Source organism: Homo sapiens, chromosome 4 (assembly GCF_000001405.40).
Source record: "Homo sapiens chromosome 4, GRCh38.p14 Primary Assembly".
Taxonomy (NCBI): Eukaryota; Metazoa; Chordata; class Mammalia; order Primates; family Hominidae; genus Homo; species Homo sapiens.
In genome coordinates, this window is record NC_000004.12 from 118,869,465 (window position 1) to 118,889,619 (window position 20,155).

The following is a 20,155-nucleotide window of genomic DNA, read 5'->3' on the forward strand; positions in this document are numbered from 1 at the left end:
TTTAAGCCTACATTTAGTGTTTCCATTTAACTGAATTTGATTCTATGCAATTTCATTTCATGCATATTCACTGAAGGGCCATGATTGCATTCAGTTAACTCAAAGCCTGGGGCCTATAGAATTGGTTGACTGGCCGTGTTGGAAGTTCAAGAGATTCCTCTACTTGAAGGGCAGGAAAAAAAACTCCCAAGTTCCTATCTGGTTTAGCAATTTCATTAAGCCTGGATATACAATACAGTGGAAAAAACTTACAACTGGGAGATAGGACAGCTGATTTGTCAGCAAATATTTTTGAGCTCCTGGTGGGTTTCAGGCACCATTCTAAATGCTGGGGATTAAGAGAGCTGAAATGAAATCTCAGCCACGGTTACCTTGCTCATTTCATAATTCTATTCAAAGGTATGATGATGTTTCTACAAATTGATGGTTCTGTGAGAAACCTATGAGTGAATGAGAAACCATTCTGAGTCAAAAAGTGACATCACTACAAATAACCACAACAATAACAACAGAAATAAATGGAATACCTCCAGTATTTCAGCACGGTGTGAGCATTGACTTTCCTGATCTATTGGCAGACTCAGGCCTAATTCCAAAGCCTGCTACAGAGTTGGGAGGAGTAATGAAATCTGGTCAGCTGAACACTTACTCTTCAAACTCAGTGGTTGCTGTTTTACTCTGCCTGCTCAGTGCCTGTTGGCTGCCTTGTAATAATTAGCAATTTTCTAGGAAATTCCTCACTTTTGCAGGAAGCCTGCTGCACTAGCCCACAAGGAAAAGTCATTTCCTTCCAGAAACTCTCAGCTGTTAGCTTGGGATCCTTCCCCCTTCAGAGGCAGCTTTGTTTCTATCCAGAGAGGACCATTTGAGACAGCAAAGGGAGGGTTTAAGGAAAGATTTATTAAGCAGTTGTTATATGTCAGGCAGTTGTTTAAAAAGCAGATGTTCCACATTTTCTTTATCCAGTCTATCGCTGATGGGCATTTGGGTTGTTCCAAGTCTTTGCTATTGTGAGTAGTGCTGCAATGAACATACACATGCATGTGTCTTTATAGTAGAATGATTTATATTCCTTTGTGTATATACCCAGTAATGGGATTGCTGGGTCAAATGGCATTTCTGGCTCTAGATCTCTGAGGAATTGCCACACTTTCTTCCACAATGGTTGAACTAATTTACATTTCCACCAACAGTGTGAAAGCATTCTTATTTCTCCACAGCCTTACCAGCATCTGTTGTTTCTCGACTTTTTAATAATCACCATTCTGGCTGTAGGGGGTATGGGGGAGGGAGAGCATCAGGATAAATAGCTAATGCATGCAGGTCTTAATACCTAGGTGGTGGGTTGATAGGTGCAGCAAACCACCATGGCACATATTTACTCATGTAACAAAACTGCACATCCTGCATATGTATCCCAAAACTTAAAATAAAATTTTTTTAAAAAGCAGATGTTTAAAAAATCTTATTTATCACTCACAGCAAGCTCAAAAGAGGAGAATATCAAGGTTCAGAAAGACAAGTGACACCCAAGACTGCAGAAATCAGCAGCAGAGCTAGGGTTTGAATTCATGCCAAGCCTTGGCTCTCATACCTACCTGTCCTATCTCTGTAAAGAATGTATACCCAGCACCTTGTTTGGTCAAAATATTTTTATGATTTAAATTTATAACAACCCCTAACAGTGCATCAACACCAAACAGGTCAAATGTCACCTCCACATGACAGATAGCTTTCCTTGGAGTAGCCAACCTTCCTCTACCACATCCCTCCCCACACCTTCGTATCTTTATTTTTCTTTTCTTTATTTCTTTTTTTTTTTGGATGAAGTTTTGCTCTGTTGCCCAAAGTGCTGGAATTACAGGAGTGACTCCATAGTGCCCAGCCTCTTTTCTTTTTTTTTTAAAGAATTGTTTCCAGATCCTGCACATATCACATCTTTATTTTTCTTCATAGCATTTGCCACCATGTGACAAAACATAGGGTTATTTGTATTTCTCGTCTGTTCTACCTACCGGAATATGTGCTTGTAGGAGATTTGGACCTTGTCTGACTTGTTAATTTCTATATCCCTTGTGCCTAGGACAATGCCTGAAATAAATAACAATTTTTTTTTTTTTTTGAGACAGTGTCTTGCTCTGTCACCCAGGCTGGAGTGCAGTGGCACAATCTCAGCTTACTGCAAGCTCCGCCTTCCGGGTTCACGCCATTCTCCTGCCTCAACCTCCCGAGTTGCTGGGACTACAGGCGCCTGCCACCATGCCCGGGCTAATTTGTTGTATTTTTAGTAGAGGCGGGGTTTCACATTGTTAGCCAGGATGATCTCGATCTCCTGACCTCGTAATCCGCCCGCCTTGGCCTCCCAAAGTGCTGGGATTACAGGCGTGAGCCACCGCACCTGGCCTATAATCAATTGTTAAGTGAATGACTGGGTCAAAGCAGCTTTCTGAAGGCAGAGTAGATAGCAAGCCTGTGACCTGTTGAGAGCACAGTATGGTTTAGTCTGGAAAACATCTTTCAGTGAAACAAATGTAGCAATTTGTATCATGCTTTTGCCTTAGTCAGTTAAAAGTGATTCCCAATTTAAGAAATTTGGCTCTGATATAAAGCTTCACTCAGGAATGCATTAGCATTATTTATTTTACTTATTAGGTATTTTTTTTCTTTGCGTAAATGAATGGGATACAAGTGTAATTTTATTATATGCAGATATTATGCAGTGGTGAAGTCAGGGTTTTTAAGGTATCCATCATCTGAATAACGTACATTGTACCTGTTATAGAAACGGGAGCATAGGAGAGCCAGGGTGACACTATTTTAAAATCAACTTCAACTTAAAGCAAGCAAGGCACATTCCTTGCCAGTCACAACCCGTGGTCATAAGATGTTTGTGGCTAAGAAGCAGCTTAAAAATACCTGCAAGAACAAACTCCTATGACAACAAAAAAAGTATCCAGATGCCGTGATATTGCATAACAATGCATGTTTTAAAAATGATTATAGTCATGCTTTGATGTACTTATGTATTAAAATGGCAAGAATAGTTTTTTTTAAGTTAGCAAAATAATAAATTTTGGCATGCTGTCAGCCCACCCACATGTAAAGGTAGCTTAACTTTTACGCAGATAAGACTTCTACATAAGAAAAACTTAAAGACCAGGCATTACTCCTCTTGCTTTCTGAGGACACCCTACTATGTATCTGAGTAGCTTTCAGTGAACTATCTTTCCTCATTGCACTCTGAGACACCTTGAATTCCTTCCTTCATGAGATCCAAGAACTCTCTCTTGGGATCTGGATCATACCCCTTTTTCTGGTGACATGCCCATTAAGTAATTTCTCATCATCCACACCCTCTCACCCCCTCCCCCTTTTGAGTCTCCATTATCTATCATTCCACACTTTATGTCCATGTGTACACATTATTTAGCTCCCACCTATAAGTGAGAACATGCAGTATTTGTCTTTCTGTCTGAGTTGTTTCACTTGAGATAATGGCCTCCAGTTCCATCGATGTTGCTGTAAAAGACATAATTTCACTTGTTTTTTTATGGCTCAATAGTATTCCATTGTGTGTGTGTACACACACACACATACACACATATTTTCTTTCTCCAGTCATTCCAATCATCCATAAAAGGACATTTAGGTTGATTCTATACGCTTGCTATTGTGAATAGTGCTGCAACAAACACACAGGTGCAGGTATCTTTTTGATATAATAATTTCGTTTCCTTTGGGCAGATAGTAGTGAGACTGCTGGATCAAACAGTAGTTCTAATTTTAGTTCTTTGAGAAATCTCCGTATTGTTTTCCACAGAGGTTGTACTAATTTACATTTTCACCAACAGTGTATAAGTGTTTCCTGTTCTCCACATTTTTCCAATATCTGTTATTTTTTTGTTTTTGTTTTTTTAATAGTAGCCATTCTGATTCATGTAAGATAATATCTTATTGTGGCTTTAATTTGCATTTCTCTGATTATCAGTGATGTGTAGCATTTTTCATATGCCTAGTGGCTATTTGTATGTCTTCTTTTGAAAAATGTCTATTCATACCCTTTGCCCATTTTTAAATGGGATTATTATTATTTGCTATTGTTTTTGAGTTGTGTTCCTTATAGATTCTAAATACTAGTCCTTTGTTGGATATATAGTTTGGTGATATTTTCTCCCATTCCACAGGTTGTGTGTTCGCTTTATTTATTTTACTGTGCAGAAGCTTTTTAGTTGAATTAAGTCCCATTTGTCTATTTTTGTTTTTGTTGCCTGTGCTTTTGAGGTCTCAGTCATGAATTCTTTGCCTAGCTTAATATTCAGAAGAGTTTTTTTCTAGGTTTTCTTCTGCATTTTTATAGTTTCAGGTCTTTAATTCACCTTGAGTTGATTTTCGTATATGGTAAGAGAGAGGAGCCCAGACTCATTCTTCTGCATATGGCAATCCAATTTTCCCACTGGCATTTATTAAAAAGAGTGTCCTTTTCCCACCGGCATTTATTAAAAAGAGTGTCCTTTTCCCCAGTGTATGTTCTTGTTTATTTAGTCAAAGATCAGTCAGCTATAAATATGTAGTTTTATTTCTGGGTTCTCCATTCTGTTCTATTGATCTATGTGTCTGCTTTTATACCAGTACCATGCTGTTTTGGCTACTATAGCCTTGTAGTATAATTTGAAGTCAGGTAATGTTATGTTATTAGACATTTTAAATACTACTGTTGCAACTGTTGAAATATTCATTTGACATTATAAATGTAAATGTTATTTATGTTTAACATTATTAGCTTCCAGAAGCCTAAGGGCAAAGCAGACATTTTAATTCACTTTGTAAAGCTATAAAGTAACAGATGGGATAGGAAGAATGATGTGGAAAATTAAAAGGTCAGAAGAGGGCCAAATAAATAATAATAATCTAAAGACTGTTGATTTTATCTATGGAAAAAATTACACAAATTAATCCCTGTTAAAAGGCAAAATTCTCTCCTAATTTGTGTGACATATATTTAAAAAATCAAAATAAACTGGAACTAAAACCAGTGGACACCATGTGATACAACTGTGCATCTGATATATCTGAAACTAGCCCTGTGACTGAACCATGGCTCTTTTTATAGCTGGATAAGTTTTGCCTTTTTTCCCTGCTGTGGACCTCCTTGCTGTAAGTAAACTGGGAAAGAGTAGATAGAGGCTTTGTGGGGTCTAAACTGTTACAATTCAATGGTGGTGTGGAGGGCTTTTAAGAAAAATAATACAAATTATAATTATAAAATTAAACATGAAACTGGATATTTATTTAAAATGAGAAAAAAAACAAAAATTTCAAGTTTTTTAAAAGATGAAAAATACCACAAACACACAATGCTGCAAAAATACACAAAATTCAGATACATGACTGTAGTTTTTTCCAACTTTTTGTTTAACTTTGGGGGTACATGTGCAGAATGTGCAGGTTTGTTGCATATGTAAACGTGTGCCATGGTAGTTTGCTGCACAGATCATCCCACCACCCAGGTATTAAGCCCAGCATCCATTAGCTCTTCTTCCTAATGCTCTCCCCATCTGACAGGCCCCATTGTGTGTTGTTCCCCCACCACGTGTCCATATGTTCTCATCATTCAGCTCCCACTGACAAGTGAGAACGTGCGGTATTTGGTTTTCTGTTCCTGTGTTAGTTTGCTGAGGATAATGGCTTCCAGCTCCATCCATGTCCTTGCAAAGGACATGATATCATTCCTTTTTATGGCTGCATGGTATTCCATGGTGTATATGTACCACATATTCTTTATCCAGTCTATCATTGATGGGCATTTAGATTGGAATAACAGTATTTTTATTAACCATTTGACATACTTTTTTCTCTATTTTTTTGGTTGAGTACTCTCTCTGATATTTTATATGACAATAATTTTGTAATATCATATTTTACATTAACCTCTAGCATGGTTTATCAAAATTAGTTTTTTAATATTGATCATTGGATTGTACACAACATGCAACTTCCTATACAGATGTCATCACTGTAACATGGCTGCAGGTTTGTGCCCCAAAACAGGAATTCTGATAAATTATATTTCTCCTAATAGCCATAAAAATGTATCATGTGATTATGATTGTGTGTGCTTCCATTATCTAGCATGTTCCTGAAAAGGGAGTCCTTTGTATTTGACTACACCTTAATAAGAGATGAATCCTTCACTGACATTTTTTATTTTTGATGATTAGAAGCGTTTTCCAAAGACTACCTTCTGGCTCTGTACATTTCAACTTTATTTCTCCTCCACTACCCAAATACTTACAGTGTCTGCATCTTACAATGTGTTGGTGTTGTGGTAAACCTCTGCCCGTTAATGTTTCCACACTGGGTGAATTGGCACATGATAGAAGTATGACTGGAAGCTGTTCATTTCTTCAATGGGCAGTGGCAATAACTTTACATGAATGCAATTAAACCACATACATATATTCCACTAAACCCAAACTGAACAAATCCTCAACTCATCTTCCGTTTAGCTTGGATTCCAAAATTGCTCACGGCTACTCCAGTACCATGAGAAGGGGAAGTTAGAGTTGACAAAAATCTTAACCAAATTTGGTTTAAGTATTTTACTTTGGCAGATTTTACAAAGGCATATGAACATGTGAGCACATGCTGGGGTCCTTCAGATTCTTGAAGGGATTCTGAAAGTGAGGGTCCAAGAGGCTCAGCTTCGTCAACGTTGTATTAAATTGTTCTCTGGTAATAGGGAGGAATCCACCACACTTCAATTGCACTAGTCTTCATCTGTTCTTCATGTTGACAAAGCATGTTTTTGCCCTGCCTCCCACTCTTCCTGCTTTTCAAGTAACTGTCTCCTTGTCAGTTTGTGTCTCAGCTATTTGTGTCTCAGCTCAGGGAGGGGTTTTTGATCACCTTATGTGTTGCATCACTCCCATCGCGCTCTGCCATATCACCCTGCTTTATTTCTTTGTTAACCCTCATTTCCCTCTGAAACTCTTTTGTTTACTTATGTATTGTCTGGCTTCTCCAGTAAAATGTAGTCTCCAAGATGCCAAGGAGGCATCTTTCCTTTGTGGCTCATAGGTAGGTCACCTGAACTTAGAACAACACACAGCATTTATTTGTTCAGATACTTTTCCTTCCCTCCCTCCCTCCTCCTTCTTTTCTCTTTTCTTTCTTCCTTCCTTTCTTCCTTCCTTCCTTCCTTTCTCTTTCTTTCTTTCTTTCTTTCTTTCTTTCTTTCTTTCTTTCTTTCTTTCTTTCTTTCTTTCTTTCTTTCTGCCTTTCTCTGTCTCTCTCTCTCTTTCCCTTTCCTTCCCTTTTCTTTTTTTTTCTTTCTTCCTTCTTTTTGTTTGAGACAGGGTCTTGTTCTGTTGCACTGGAGTGCAGTGGCATAATCATGATTCACTGCAACGTTGACCTCCCAGCCTGAAGCAATCCTTCAACCTCAGCCTCCTGAGTAGCTGGGACTATAGGTACATGCCACTATGCTCACTCTGCCCATCTAATTAAATTTTTTTTTTTTCTTGTAGAGACAAGGTCTCCCTATGTTGCCTAGGCTGGTCTTAAAATCCTGGGTCCAAGCGACCCTCCTGCCTCAGCCTCCAAAAATGCTGGGATTGCAGGGAGCCACTGCACCTGGCCTTCAGATGCTTTTCAAATGAATGAATGAACTATAAACTTAAAAGCACATAAATGTGTTTTCAGTTTGCTCAAGAATCTTATTTTACCCCTTCCTTACACCATAAACAAAAATCAACTCAAGATGGATTAAATATCAAACCTGAAACTATAAAAACCCTGGAAGATAACCTAGGAAATACCTTTCTGGATATAGGACCAGGCAAATTTCATGAGGAAGACACCAAAAGCAATTTTTACAAAAACAGAAATTGACAAACGGGACCCAAATAAACTAAAGAGCTTTTGCACAGCAAAAGAAACTATTAAAAGAGTAAACAGACAACCTACAGAATGGGAGAAAATATTTGCAAACTATGCATCTGACAAAGGTCTAATAAGAATCTATAAGGAACTTAAACAAATTTACAAGCAAAAACTGAACCCCATTAAAAAGTGGGCAGAGGACGTGAACAAGCACTTTTCAAAAGAAGACATATACGCGGCCAACAAGCATATGAAAAGAAGATCAACATCACTGATCATTACAGACATGCAAATCAGCACCACAATGAGATACTATCTCACACCAGTCAGAATGGCTATTATTAAAAAGTCAAAAAATAACAGATCCTGGTGAGGTTGTGGAGAAAAGGGAACACTTACACACTGCTGGTGGGAGTGTAAATTAGTCCAGACAATATGAAAAGCAGGGTGGCAATGCCTCAAAAAACTTAAAACAGAATTACCATTCAGCTCAGCAATTCCATTATTGGGTATATACCCAAAGGAATATAAATTGTTCTACCATAAAGATGATACATGCATGTGAATGTTCGTTGCAGCACTATTCACGATAGCAAAGACTTGGAATCAATCTAAATGCCCGTCAACATTAGACTGGTTTAAAAAATATGGTACATATAGAAAAAGGAATACTATGCAGCCATAAAAAGAATGAGATTATGTCGTTTGCAGCAACATGGATGGAGTTGGAGGCCATTATCCTCAGCAAACCACACAGGAACAGAAAACCAAGTATCGCATGTTCTCGTTTATAAGTGGGAGCTAAACTTTGAGTACATATTGACACAAAAAGGGAAACAATAGACATCAGGGCCTACTTGAGGGTGGAGGGTAGGTGAAGGGTGAGGATTGAAAAACCACCTATGCACTATGCTTATTACCTGGGTGACAAAATAATCTGTGCACAAATCCCTATGATACGCAATTTACCTGTAAAACAAACTTGCACATGTACCCCTGAACCTAAAATAAAAGTTAAAAAATAAATAAGATGAAATAAAACAAAAAGAATATTATTTTATCACTTAAATCAATTTACTTCAACCCTAGTTCTCCATCTCACTGAGTTGGTGGAAGGGAGAGGTGAAGCCAGCTGGGCTTCTGGGTCAGATGGGGACTTGGAGAAATTTTCCATCTACCTAAAGGATTGTAAACGCACCAATCCGCGCTCTGTGTCTAGCTAAAGGTTTGTAAACGCACCAATCACCACTCTGTAAAAACGCACCAATCAGCGCTCTGTGTCTAGCTAAAGGTTTATAAACGCACCAATCAGCACTCTGTAAAAACGCACCAATCAGTGCTCTGTGTCTAGCTAAAGGTATGTAAACACACCAATCAGCACTCTGTAAAAACGCACCAATCAGCACTCTGTAAAATGAACCAATCAGCACTCTGCAAAATGGACCAATCAGCAGGACATGGGTGGGGCCAAATAAGGGAATAAAAGCTGGCCACCCCAGCCAGCAGAGGCACCCACTCAGGTCCTTTTCTGTCTTGTGGATGTTTTGTTCTTTCTCTCTCTGCAGTAAATCCTACTGCTGTTCAGTTTTTGGGTCCGCACTACCTCTAAGAGCTGTAACACTCACTGCGAAGGTCTGTGGCTTCACTCCTGAAGTCAGCGAGACCATGAACCCACAGGGAGGAATGAACAACTCCGGAGGCACCACCTTTAAGAGCTGTAACACTCACTGTTAAGGTGTGCCACTTCACTCCTGAAGTGAACAAGACCACAGAACTCGCCAGAAGGAAGAAACTCCCGACACATCTGAACATCTGAAGGAACAAACTCTGCACACACCATCTTTAAGAACGGTAACACTCACCGATAAGGGTCCGTGGCTTCATTGTTGAAGTCAGGGAGACCATGAACCCACTGGAATGAACCAATTCTGAACACAGAAGTGCCAATTCAGAGAGGGTTAGAGCTTCCTTTTCCCTAGGCTCTGGGGAACTGAACGTTTTTGTCTCCCCTGAAATTCATATGTTGAATCCTAAATCCCCAGTGTATATTTGGAAGTGGGGCTGTGCGAAGGTAATTAGCTCATGAGGATAGAGCCCTTGTGAATGGATTAGTGCCCCTGTAAGACGAGAGACACAAGAGAGATGATCTTTCTCTATGTGAGGACACAATGAGAAGACAGTCATCTACAAACCAGGAAGAGGGCACTCAGCAGACAGTGGACCTAGCAGCCCTTTGATCTTAGACTTCCCAGCTGCCAGACCTGTGGGAAACACATTTTTGTGGTTTAAATCGCCCAGCGTATGATACTGTGTTATGGCAGTCCAAAGAGACTAAAACACGAGGGGCTGCAAAGGTCTTGGGGTTCAACAGAGCAGCTGGTCATCAATCATTTGCCTTCACTGGTCACTGAACTGTCCGTGGTCTTGGCCAGCAGTCAGGTACGTAACTGCAACTTTTGTGACATGCGTGTGGCTGAAGAATGTTGGCGGGGTTGGCAGCCCTGCCCTTGATGTCCCGCCTCCCTCCGAGACCCTGCAACCGTTTGCCTCTGAGGCCTGTTGCCTGTCAGCAGCATGGAGGTCTGCACTACTTTAGAGACCCAGGAGCAGCAGATCATCCCTGTCAGGACAGAATCCCTCCTTATTTCTCTCAACGGTGCTCCCCTTTCTTTCCTCTCCCTCTGAGACCCCTTGCATCATCATTTCGTGAAGGTTAGGCTTTACAAAACTGGGAATCACTGTTACCACCTTCTTTTCCTGCTCAGCAAAAGTCCCTGAGGTAAGGAAATTGTAAGGGTCTGGCTACTTGCTCGGAATAAGAAGAAGGAGAAAATCTGAAGGACCAACAAAACAATCAAAATGTGAAAAATTATTCTGTCTGGTCATTTTATATACTTTGTGCATTGGGAAGAAACTAATAAGCAGTTAGGCTATCTGTATGCTGTGCATTCTTGTTATGGGGGGAATTATGTCCCTCCAAGTTCATATGTTGAAGACCTAATCTCCAGTACCTCAAAGCTCCAGATTTTAACACTGATTTTGGGGGGTATAATTTAGTGGCAGTTCCAAATAATCATGATCCATGAAAAAGATGATTTTGTTCATTTCAAATCATAGAAGGTGGCTGGGCACAGTGGCTCATGCCTGTAATCCCAGCACTTTGGGAGGCTGAGGCAGTTGGATCACGAGGTCAGGAGTTCAAGACCAGCCTGGCCAAGATGGTGAAACCCCATCTTTACTAAAAATACAAAAATTAGCTGGGCGTGGTGGCTGTTGCCTGTAATCCCAGCTACTTGGGCGGCTGAGGCAGGAAATTGCTTGAACCCCGGAGGTGGAGGTTACAGTGAGCTGAGATCACGCCACTGCACTCCAGCCTGGGCGACAGAGCGAGACTCTGTCCCAAAAAAAAAAAAAAAAAATTATGCAAGCTACTATTTAAATTTTATTTTCAGTAATTCATTGACATTACATTTTTCCCTAAAAATTATCTTCACTCTTTCTGATGTTTCAGGTAATTCAGTATTACTTAAAATGTAAAACATGCAATATTTATTAGTAAAACAGAACATGACTGTGTTTGTGAAAGGATCTTTAAAGAGATAATTAAATTAAAATGAGGTCTTTAGGGTGGGCCCTAATCCAATATGACTGGTGTTCCTATACGAAGAGGTTAAGGGCCGAACGTGGTGGCTCATGCCTGTAATCCCAGCACTTTGGGAGGCCTAGGTGGGCGGATCACAAGGTCAGGAGATCCAGACCATCCTGGCTAACACGGTGAAACCTCGTCTCTACTAAAAATACAAAAAATTAGCCGGGTGTAGTGGCGGGCGCCTGTAGTTCCAGCTACTCAGGAGGCTGAGGCAGGAGAATGGCATGAACCCGGGAGGTGGAGGTTGCAGGGAGCCGAGATCGCACCACTGGACTCCAGCCTGGGCGACAGAGCAAAACTCCGTCTCAAAAAAAAAAAAAAAGAAGAAGAAGAAGAGGTTAAGATATAGACCTGTCCAGAGGGAAGACCATGTGAAGCCAGAGGGAAGTGACCATCTGCAAGTCAAGGAGAGAGGCTTCAGAAGGAACCAGTCTGCTGACACCTTGATCTCAGATTTCCAGACCCCCAAATGTGAAAGAATAAACTTCTGTTGCTTAGGCCACCCAATCCGTGGCGTTTGTTATGGAGCCCTAGCACAGTAATACACTTTCTTATGCCCCGAGGGGGAGCAAGGCAACAGCCCTGGGCTTTGTGTAAAAGAAAGAGTTGCTGGGGAGCGTCCCCTTACGACTGCGAGCCTCTGTGGCAGAACTTTAAATCACTGGCAGTAGTAGCAGTGGTAGTTTTTCCCTAAGCCACGTTCGGCCTCCAAGTGAGAGACGGCACATAGATCATAGGGAAGTTGTTTTGGGTAGGGCCTGAGGGCATCTTCTTTCACACTGCTCGTTCTCTCCCTCTTTGGAATGCTACCGAGCACCACCCCACCTGCTCAGATGGCTTTTCATGGAGGTGCGCATGTTTCATTCCTGGAAACCACACAAGTATTCCAGTTGCATCAGCCTCTAGTGTGCCCAGCACATGATAAATGCGTGATTCTCCAATAATCAGAGAGTTGCGTAACTATTAAATATAGGTCCTCAAGTGTTTATCCATCCTGTTGATGATCTATCTGGCACTTATGATAAAGTTCTGTTATTTGCAATTAATCCCAACCAGCATGTTTCTTTCAGAAGTTAACAATAAGCATTTTAAAGACTTTGCTGTCTTTGTCTGGGATATTAATTTCTTCCCATATACATAATTTTACCTCTTATTGTTGTCGGTCACTTTTTATTGGGGGGAAGTAAAATGAAACAACAAAAAAATACATTATTTCAAAGCTCCAAATTTTAACACTGATTTTGGGGAGTACAATTTAGCGGCTGTTCCAAATAATCACAACCCATGAGAAAATGATTTGATTCCTTAAAAAATATAGAAGCTATTGTTTAAATTTCATTTTCAGTAATTCATTGACATTACATTTTTCCCTAAAAATTATCTTTACTCTTTCTGTTGTTTCAGATAATTCAGTATTTCTTAAAATGTAAAACATGCGATATTTATTAAAAAACATAAAATAGCAAAACTATAGTCAATAGACATTGAGTCAACATTGTCATTTCATTCCTTGACATTACAGACAAATACCCTTCAATCTTTTGGAAAAATAAAATGCCTAATATGTTTATTTATCTCATCTTCATTATCCTAAAATATGTGCTCTCTCTCTCTCACACACACACACCCCACACACCTTTATAAAGCATACTTTCTGAAAATGAAACTTTTAATAGACATGTATCCTAAGAGGGCTTTAATACATGGGGTTTTTACTTGTTGAGCCATTCAAACCACACTCACATAAATATATTAGCTAATGCTGTAAGATGCCTGCTAGTTTTTTTTTTTTTGAGACGGAGTCTCGCTCTGTCGCCCAGGCTGAAGTGCAATGGTGCGATCTCGGCTCACTGCAAGCTCCACCTCCCGGGTTCATGCCATTCTCCTGCCTCAACCTCCTGGGTAGCTGGGACTACAGCCACCACGCCCGGCTAATTTTTTGTATTTTTAGTGAGACGGGGTTTCACTATGTTAGCCAGGATGGTCTCGATCTCCTGACCTCGTGATCCGCCCTCCTCGGCCTCCCAAAGTGCTGGGATCACAGGCATGAGCCACCGCGCCCCGCCTGTTTTTTTTTTTTTTAAAGGCCTTTTAATAAGCAGGAAGATTTGATGGCCCAAAAGGACAGGAAGACTTAGGCTTGCATTAGATACTAAAATCATGACGCATCTTTCCTGGTTTTGCCATTTTAAATTTCACATAATTTTATAATAATGTTTACTTCCTTGCTGTAATGCTTTATTTTTCTCCAAAAATTTTTACCATTTTATTCATAATGAAGAGTAACTTCTAGTTCTTTGAATAATTAGGAAGCAGTCATAAACATTAGCTCAAAATGGAAAGTAATGATGTTTTTTGAGTGAAAATTGAATTAGGAAAATAAAAAAGAGGCACAAGCCAGGCATAGGTAGCCAATATGAAATTATTGCAGAATAAGTCGTTCTTAATGGAATATATGTGTTTCATAATGTGCTCTCTCAGTTCATGTTAGGCCCAGAAATCTTACAGTGCTATCAAAATGGGGAAAGATAGAATGGGTATTATTTGTTAAATAAATAATCACTTGAGTGAATGAATAAATGGTAGTATAAAATAAAGTATCTGATACGTTGTTAAATCATTTAACATAGATTTAACATAGAATTAGAGTTAGTCCCAGAAGACCATTGTCAACATGACTTTAGCCATTTTTTCTTTAGAAAATAGATTTCTCTTTTTCTTTTTTTTTTCTCTTGCTTTTATTCCTAAAACCCAAATAAAATAAAAGGAGGCGGGCTTATGTGCTCTTTGATCAGGGCTCTGGTTTCATTTTTCTACTTATTTCTCAGTTTCACCCTGTTAGGTCTGGGATTTGATTTTACTGTCTTTACAGGCTACTAAATTAGCTTGTTACTGTTTCATAGGTGCTGGAAGAACATATTAAACTTCTGGGTCAGAGACAAAGAACTTTACTACTCAGGGCTCTGCAAGCAGCAGAAACATCAGCATGTTTGCATCAGTTCACCTTGCCCCAAGCCCCATAAGGGTGACACAATATGACCCAGATGGATGCTACACACACAGAGGGTTTGTATCACAGCTAGGGGGCACTGAGCTTAGATAATTCATTGCTTTTATAATAATGAGTTAGCAAATCTGCTCTTTGTTTCTGATTGAGATATTATCTTTTTTCTCAAGGTTGCTTGCTATAAACATAATCCTGAGAAATGGCTCAGGAAAAAAGGCATCAGGACGTTGCATTCTGGCATACCCAGAAAGACATATAGAAGCACTAGAGACCCATGAAGGACTGACTGTCTCTCCCAACACACCTTGTGGTGGTTTTGTCTTCACATTGGCTTTCTCCATTGGCTGCAAATCAGTATCCATGGAGAAGAGGCCTTGCCCTGACGGCAATCCAGAGAAGTCTTGAGCTTCCCTGTGATTGGAGCATACATGAATTAATCACTCAGGCCAAGGAAATCTCCTTGATTTTGGCTCAGGTTTTGTACCTATCTCTGTGTTAAGGAGGAATAATTACTCTGATTGCCTTAGATCAACACTGCTGGGGTGGGAGGATCAATTCTACCTAAACCAATAGCTACTAACCAATGGGAAATAGAATGTTAGGGAGGTGGCCACTACCTATTCCACACGGTCTCTAAGGTGTATAATTGAGGAATTTTGGTCTATTTCAAATGTTCCAAGTCTAATAAAGTAAACAAAAAAATAAATTAGAACTCTTTGTCTCTCTTTTCTATGTCTTTATTCTGGGAACTCTTATTTATTTTTTTTACTCATATTAATTGGGCACCAATCATTCATCAGGAGCTATTAGACTTGGGGATAGAATTCTGAATAAGTCAGCAATGACTCCTAGTCTCACAGGGTTAATAACCTAGCATAGGATTCAGACAACTTAAGAGACCTTTAGACTGAGAGGGAAAGTACAGAGTGATAGTAGCACGTGGAAGGAACACCTAACCTGGACACCAGGAAGGTCGGGAAAGTCCTCCTGGAGAATGTGATCTCTAATCTGAGGCCGGAGGATGAGGAGAAATTATTAGGTGATTTATGTGTGGACAAGGACTGAATAGCTTGGAGAAATGCCTAAGCAGGTGAAACAAAAAAGCAATTTTGAGAAAAGAACAGTACTTCTGTGTGTCTGAATCATCAAATTCAAGGTAGGGGTAGTAAGCAACAAGGTGGAAGAAGTAGGTAGTGGGAGGCAGAAAGTGTTTCCATGTAAAAAAGTTCGGACTTTATCCGGGAGCCCTTGAAGATTTGAACTATAGGAAAAATAACATAGACATTATATTTCAAAATTTCACCCTGGCTTTGGAGTAAAAAATGAATTGAGGGTGGAAACAAGCCTGGAATAGAGACAACAGTTAGGAGACTGTTGAAGTCCAGGTCAGAGATAGACATGGTCCCAGGAGTAGGAAATGAGGGAAGGAGCAGATTTCCAAACTATTTAGAAGTTAGATCCATAGGTCTTTTTTTTTTTTTTTCTTTCTCAGATGGAGTCTTGCTCTATTGCCCAGGCTGGAGTGCAGTGGTACGGTCTCGGCTCACTGCAACCTCTGCCTCCCAGGTTCAAGCAATTCTCTTGCCTCAGCCTCCCGAGTAGCTGGGATTACAGGTGTGCACCACCACGCCCAGCTAATTTTTGTACTTTTGGTAGAGATGGGGTTTCACCATGTTGGCCAGGCTGGTCTTGAGCTCCTGACCTCAAGTGATCCACCCACCTTGCCCACCTTGTCTTCCCCAAATGCTGGGATTACAGGCATGCAGCACTGCGCATAGCCAGATCCATAGGTCTTAATGGATAATTGGTTGCATGAGATAAGCATCAGGGAATACATAAGACCTGGAGGCAGAATAGCAATGATTAAGAATAGGTATTAGGGCAGACAAATTCGGGCAGACAAAAGTTCAAACCCTGGCTCTATCGCTTAGGATTTAAAGCACTGTTAATTATCAGTAAAAGAGAAACACTAATACCTATCTAGCATGGTTGCTTTGAAAATAAATACAACATTATATTTCAAGTTCCTGCACAGAATAAATCTTTGATAAGAGTGGCTACAGAGGCAAGAAGAAAGCCTAGAGCTTGCTGGGCCCAAGAAGCCTAAGGGAGAAATGATTTAAGGAGGACACCATCACTAATTTGAAGCTAGACTTGAGTGGATTGAGGAGCAGAAGGGACATGAAAAAGTAAAAAGAACAAATATGAAAGTGTTTTTTTTCTTTGTTCTCAGAGCTCATTTTTTAAAAATTTTTACTTTAAGTTCTGGGATACATGTGCAGAACATGCAGGTTTGTTACATAGGTATACATGTGCCATGGTTGTTTGCTGCACCTATCAACCCGTCATCTAGGTTTTAAGCCCCGCATGCGTTATGTGTCGTAATGCTCTCCCTCCCTTTGTACCCCACCCTCCGACAGGCCTCAGTGTGTGATGTTTCCCTCCCTGTGTCTATGTGTTCTCATTGTTCAACTCCCACTTATGAGTGAGAACATGTGGTGTTTGGTTTACTGTTCCTGTGCTAGTTTGCTGAGAATGATGGCTTCCAGCTTCATCCATGTCCCCTGCAAAGGACATTAACACATTCTTTTTTTATGGCTGCATAGTATTCCATGGTGTATATGTGCCATATTTTCTTTATCCAGTCTATCACTGATGGACATTTGGGTTGGTTCCAAGTCTTTGCTATTGTAATTAGTGTCAAAGCTCATATTTTATGATGTCTCTTGTAACTATTGTTTAAAGGAAAGACTGGGAAAGTCAATTCGTGTTTCTGAAAAGAATCAAACTTGGGATGAGTATCTGGCCCTCATGACCTTCAAAGGGTCTCTTCCAGTGCCACAATCTCTGATTTCATTGTCCTCACTCCAGTGATGAGTCACAAATAAAATCACTTGATGCCTTTGGCTTCTGGGGAGCATGGGCTGTGTAAAATGTTCATTGTACCACAGGTCCTTGAATAATGCCATTTTATTCAACATTGTTTCATGACAACATTGATGAGAAAAAAAAATGTATTTCCAGCTGGGGCCACTGTTTGTATGGAGTTTGAAAGTTCTCCCCATGTCTGTATAGGTTTTCTCCAGGTCCTCTGGTTTCCTGCCACATCCCAAAGCTGTGCTCATGAGATGAACTGGCATGTCTAAATGGTCCCCATCTGAGTGAGTGTGTGTGTGTGTGTGTGTGTGTGTGTGTGTGTGTGCACCCTCTGATGGGATGGTCAGGGCTGTCCAGGGCTGATTCCTGCCTTGCGCCCTAAGCTGCAGGGAGAGGCTCAAGCCACTGGAGATCCTGAATGGGAATAAGTGGGTTGGAGGAGGAATGAATGTATGGATGCAAATTATTTTCAAAAAAAATTCATAAAATATATGTTAATCACACAAATGCACAGCAATAGATGATGCTGTATGAAATTTCTCAGTGAGCCTGCTATATTTGTGGTGGTTTTGAACTGCATTGTGACAGGAGGTACTCCTTATAATTTTCCTTTTGCAAACATTTATTCCTTGATTGAATCCACCACCACTACAGCTGCCCTCACTCACTGATTCACCAAAAATTGGGTCCATGATTATCTTGTTTTTATTAATCTTTCTTAAATGCATGTGTAGCTGACATTTATTTCCATGTTTAATATTAGAAGTGTTTTAATCTTATTTAAAAGTTTGGTGATGTCTTTGTGACCAGAAATAGACTGTAGTCACTTAACCTTGTTTTTATCAATTAGTCGATGGTAAAATTGGTTTTAAAGTCACAGTTTCCATGAACCTATCTGTGACGTTTTAAGTGAGGACTTACTGTATATAGTGCTTCTTAGTGCTGAAACAGGCAGCGTGTCTGGAAATTTTGTTTGGTACCACAAGTAACACAAACAAACTTTCCCAGGCTCTTCCTTATTTAGTATGTTTTTATGTGGATGAATGTTATGGAAAACAAAAGTATTATAGGAAAATTAAAATGTCCTTTTTGTACATTTTTGGCAGATTGTATTCAGATTTAAAACATTTAAATATTTGGAATATACAAAATCTGCTTTTATATTGGACCACCCAGATTCATGACATGGGATGACAAACTATAAAAATAAGAAACCTGTAGGTGACATTGTACATTTTATGCAGTTGACTAACTGTTGGGTTTGGGTTTAAGAAGATCAGCAGGTAGAAAGAAAACAAAACACGTTAAAATTTAACATACCCAAAACTATGCAATAGATGTAATTATAAGAATGTAGTTTCCAGGAGAAAAATTCATATTCATTTTCTCTCTTTCTCTCTCCCTTTCTGTCTCTTCTCTTCCCCTTTCTCTAAATATATGGTTCAGAAAGGTACTTTTCAGAGCTGGAGGTTTATTAACAAAAAGTTTGTGCTTTCTTTTGTTTCCTCTTATAGGAATAATTCAGCAGAATGCAGACAGAAAAGTAGTAATTTAACTCATTTTAACTCTTTTTTGTCTATTCCATTCATAAATGTGGCAAGTCTCAAAACATTTATTTGAGAGAATCTAATCCTCTAGTAGTTGAATTCCCAACGCTCCTATTTTAGGACGTCATTCATGGCGTGGAGATTAAACCTTCATGTGTCCTTTACTATTTACAGAATTATTAAATGTAAGTTTTTCAATCATACTTATACCATTAACTGCTTGGATTTAATCTGTTAGTGCAAGATAACTTTGGCTCTCCCTTCCGTCCTCCTTTCCCTTATCTCGCCCCACGTGAGGACATTCTCCTGTGTGTGAAGCTGCTTTCCTTTCCTCGAAGGTGGGCCGAGCAAAGGAGAGTGACGCAAGAGTGGGCTGTGTCCTGGATGCTGCGAGCGCCTCTGCCTCCTTGAGAATGAGCCCATTAGCCGCACAAATTCGCAGCAGGCGGCTGGGGCGGCGGCTGGGGCAGCGGCTGCAGCAGCGGCGGACGCTCTGCATTACCCAGTCTTGCGTCCTCGGCAGGCGCCCGAAGCTGAGTGCGCATCCTCTACCGCACCCAAGCTTCGTCTGTCTCGTCAAGCTCTTCATGCTGCCCAACTAAAAGGAAAACATGGGCACAGGGGATTTTATCTGCATTTCCATGACTGGAGGGGCGCCCTGGGGGTTCAGATTGCAAGGTGGCAAGGAGCAGAAGCAGCCCTTACAAGTTGCAAAGGTAGGACCTGAACGAAGTGTCACGGCTCTGTGCTAGGAAGGAAGGAATGAAAGCAACCTGCTGATGGTGTTTTCAGGTTCTGATGCAGAAGTCTAAGTATTATTTGATTTTGCTGCGGATATTAAGATTTTTCTAGGAAGTGAGTTATTTTCTAAGAAACTTTGGAGAGTAATGGGCCACATCCTATGTAATTAACTTGCAATCGATGAGGGGTGGGTGGGAAGAATGCCATATTTATCAGCTGAGGAAAAGGCCTAGTTAACCATGTTCTTCTGACAACAAGCAAGACACTGGGGAGCGTTTCTTCCAGGCAATTTTAGAATGTTCAGTTGAGTTATTGTTTGATGTCACTTCACTTGGCTCTGGCAGAGGAGAAACGCTCAGTTCAGCATAACGACTTTGCTTGGCTATTTTGGGGACTCATATAGAGTGTTGGTAGTGACATTTATTATGCAGCATTCATGAAAAGGCCAATGTT

General features: G+C 40.1%; 1 protein-coding gene and 1 long non-coding RNA gene across 6 annotated transcripts in view; both read left to right on the forward strand.

Moving 5' to 3' along the window:
- Window positions 1-20,155, forward strand: part of SYNPO2 (synaptopodin 2) — a 210,567-nt gene that overhangs the window by 18,784 nt on the left and 171,628 nt on the right. For 4 of the 5 annotated variants that reach the window (NM_133477.3, NM_001286755.2, NM_001128933.3 and 1 more), the window contains exon 1: window positions 19,390-19,677. The exons of the other annotated variant lie outside the window; for it this stretch is intronic. In NM_133477.3, the coding sequence (NP_597734.2) occupies window positions 19,573-19,677 (105 nt within the window). In that variant the 5' untranslated portion in view covers window positions 19,390-19,572. Of the gene's footprint in view, window positions 1-19,389; window positions 19,678-20,155 lie in introns of those variants that run through there. 5 annotated transcript variants of the gene reach the window in all.
- On the forward strand, window positions 9,725-15,320 carry LOC105377393 (uncharacterized). Its single transcript, XR_939119.2, has 3 exons — window positions 9,725-10,660; window positions 14,434-14,596; window positions 14,708-15,320. It is a non-coding gene; the product is annotated as an uncharacterized LOC105377393 (long non-coding RNA).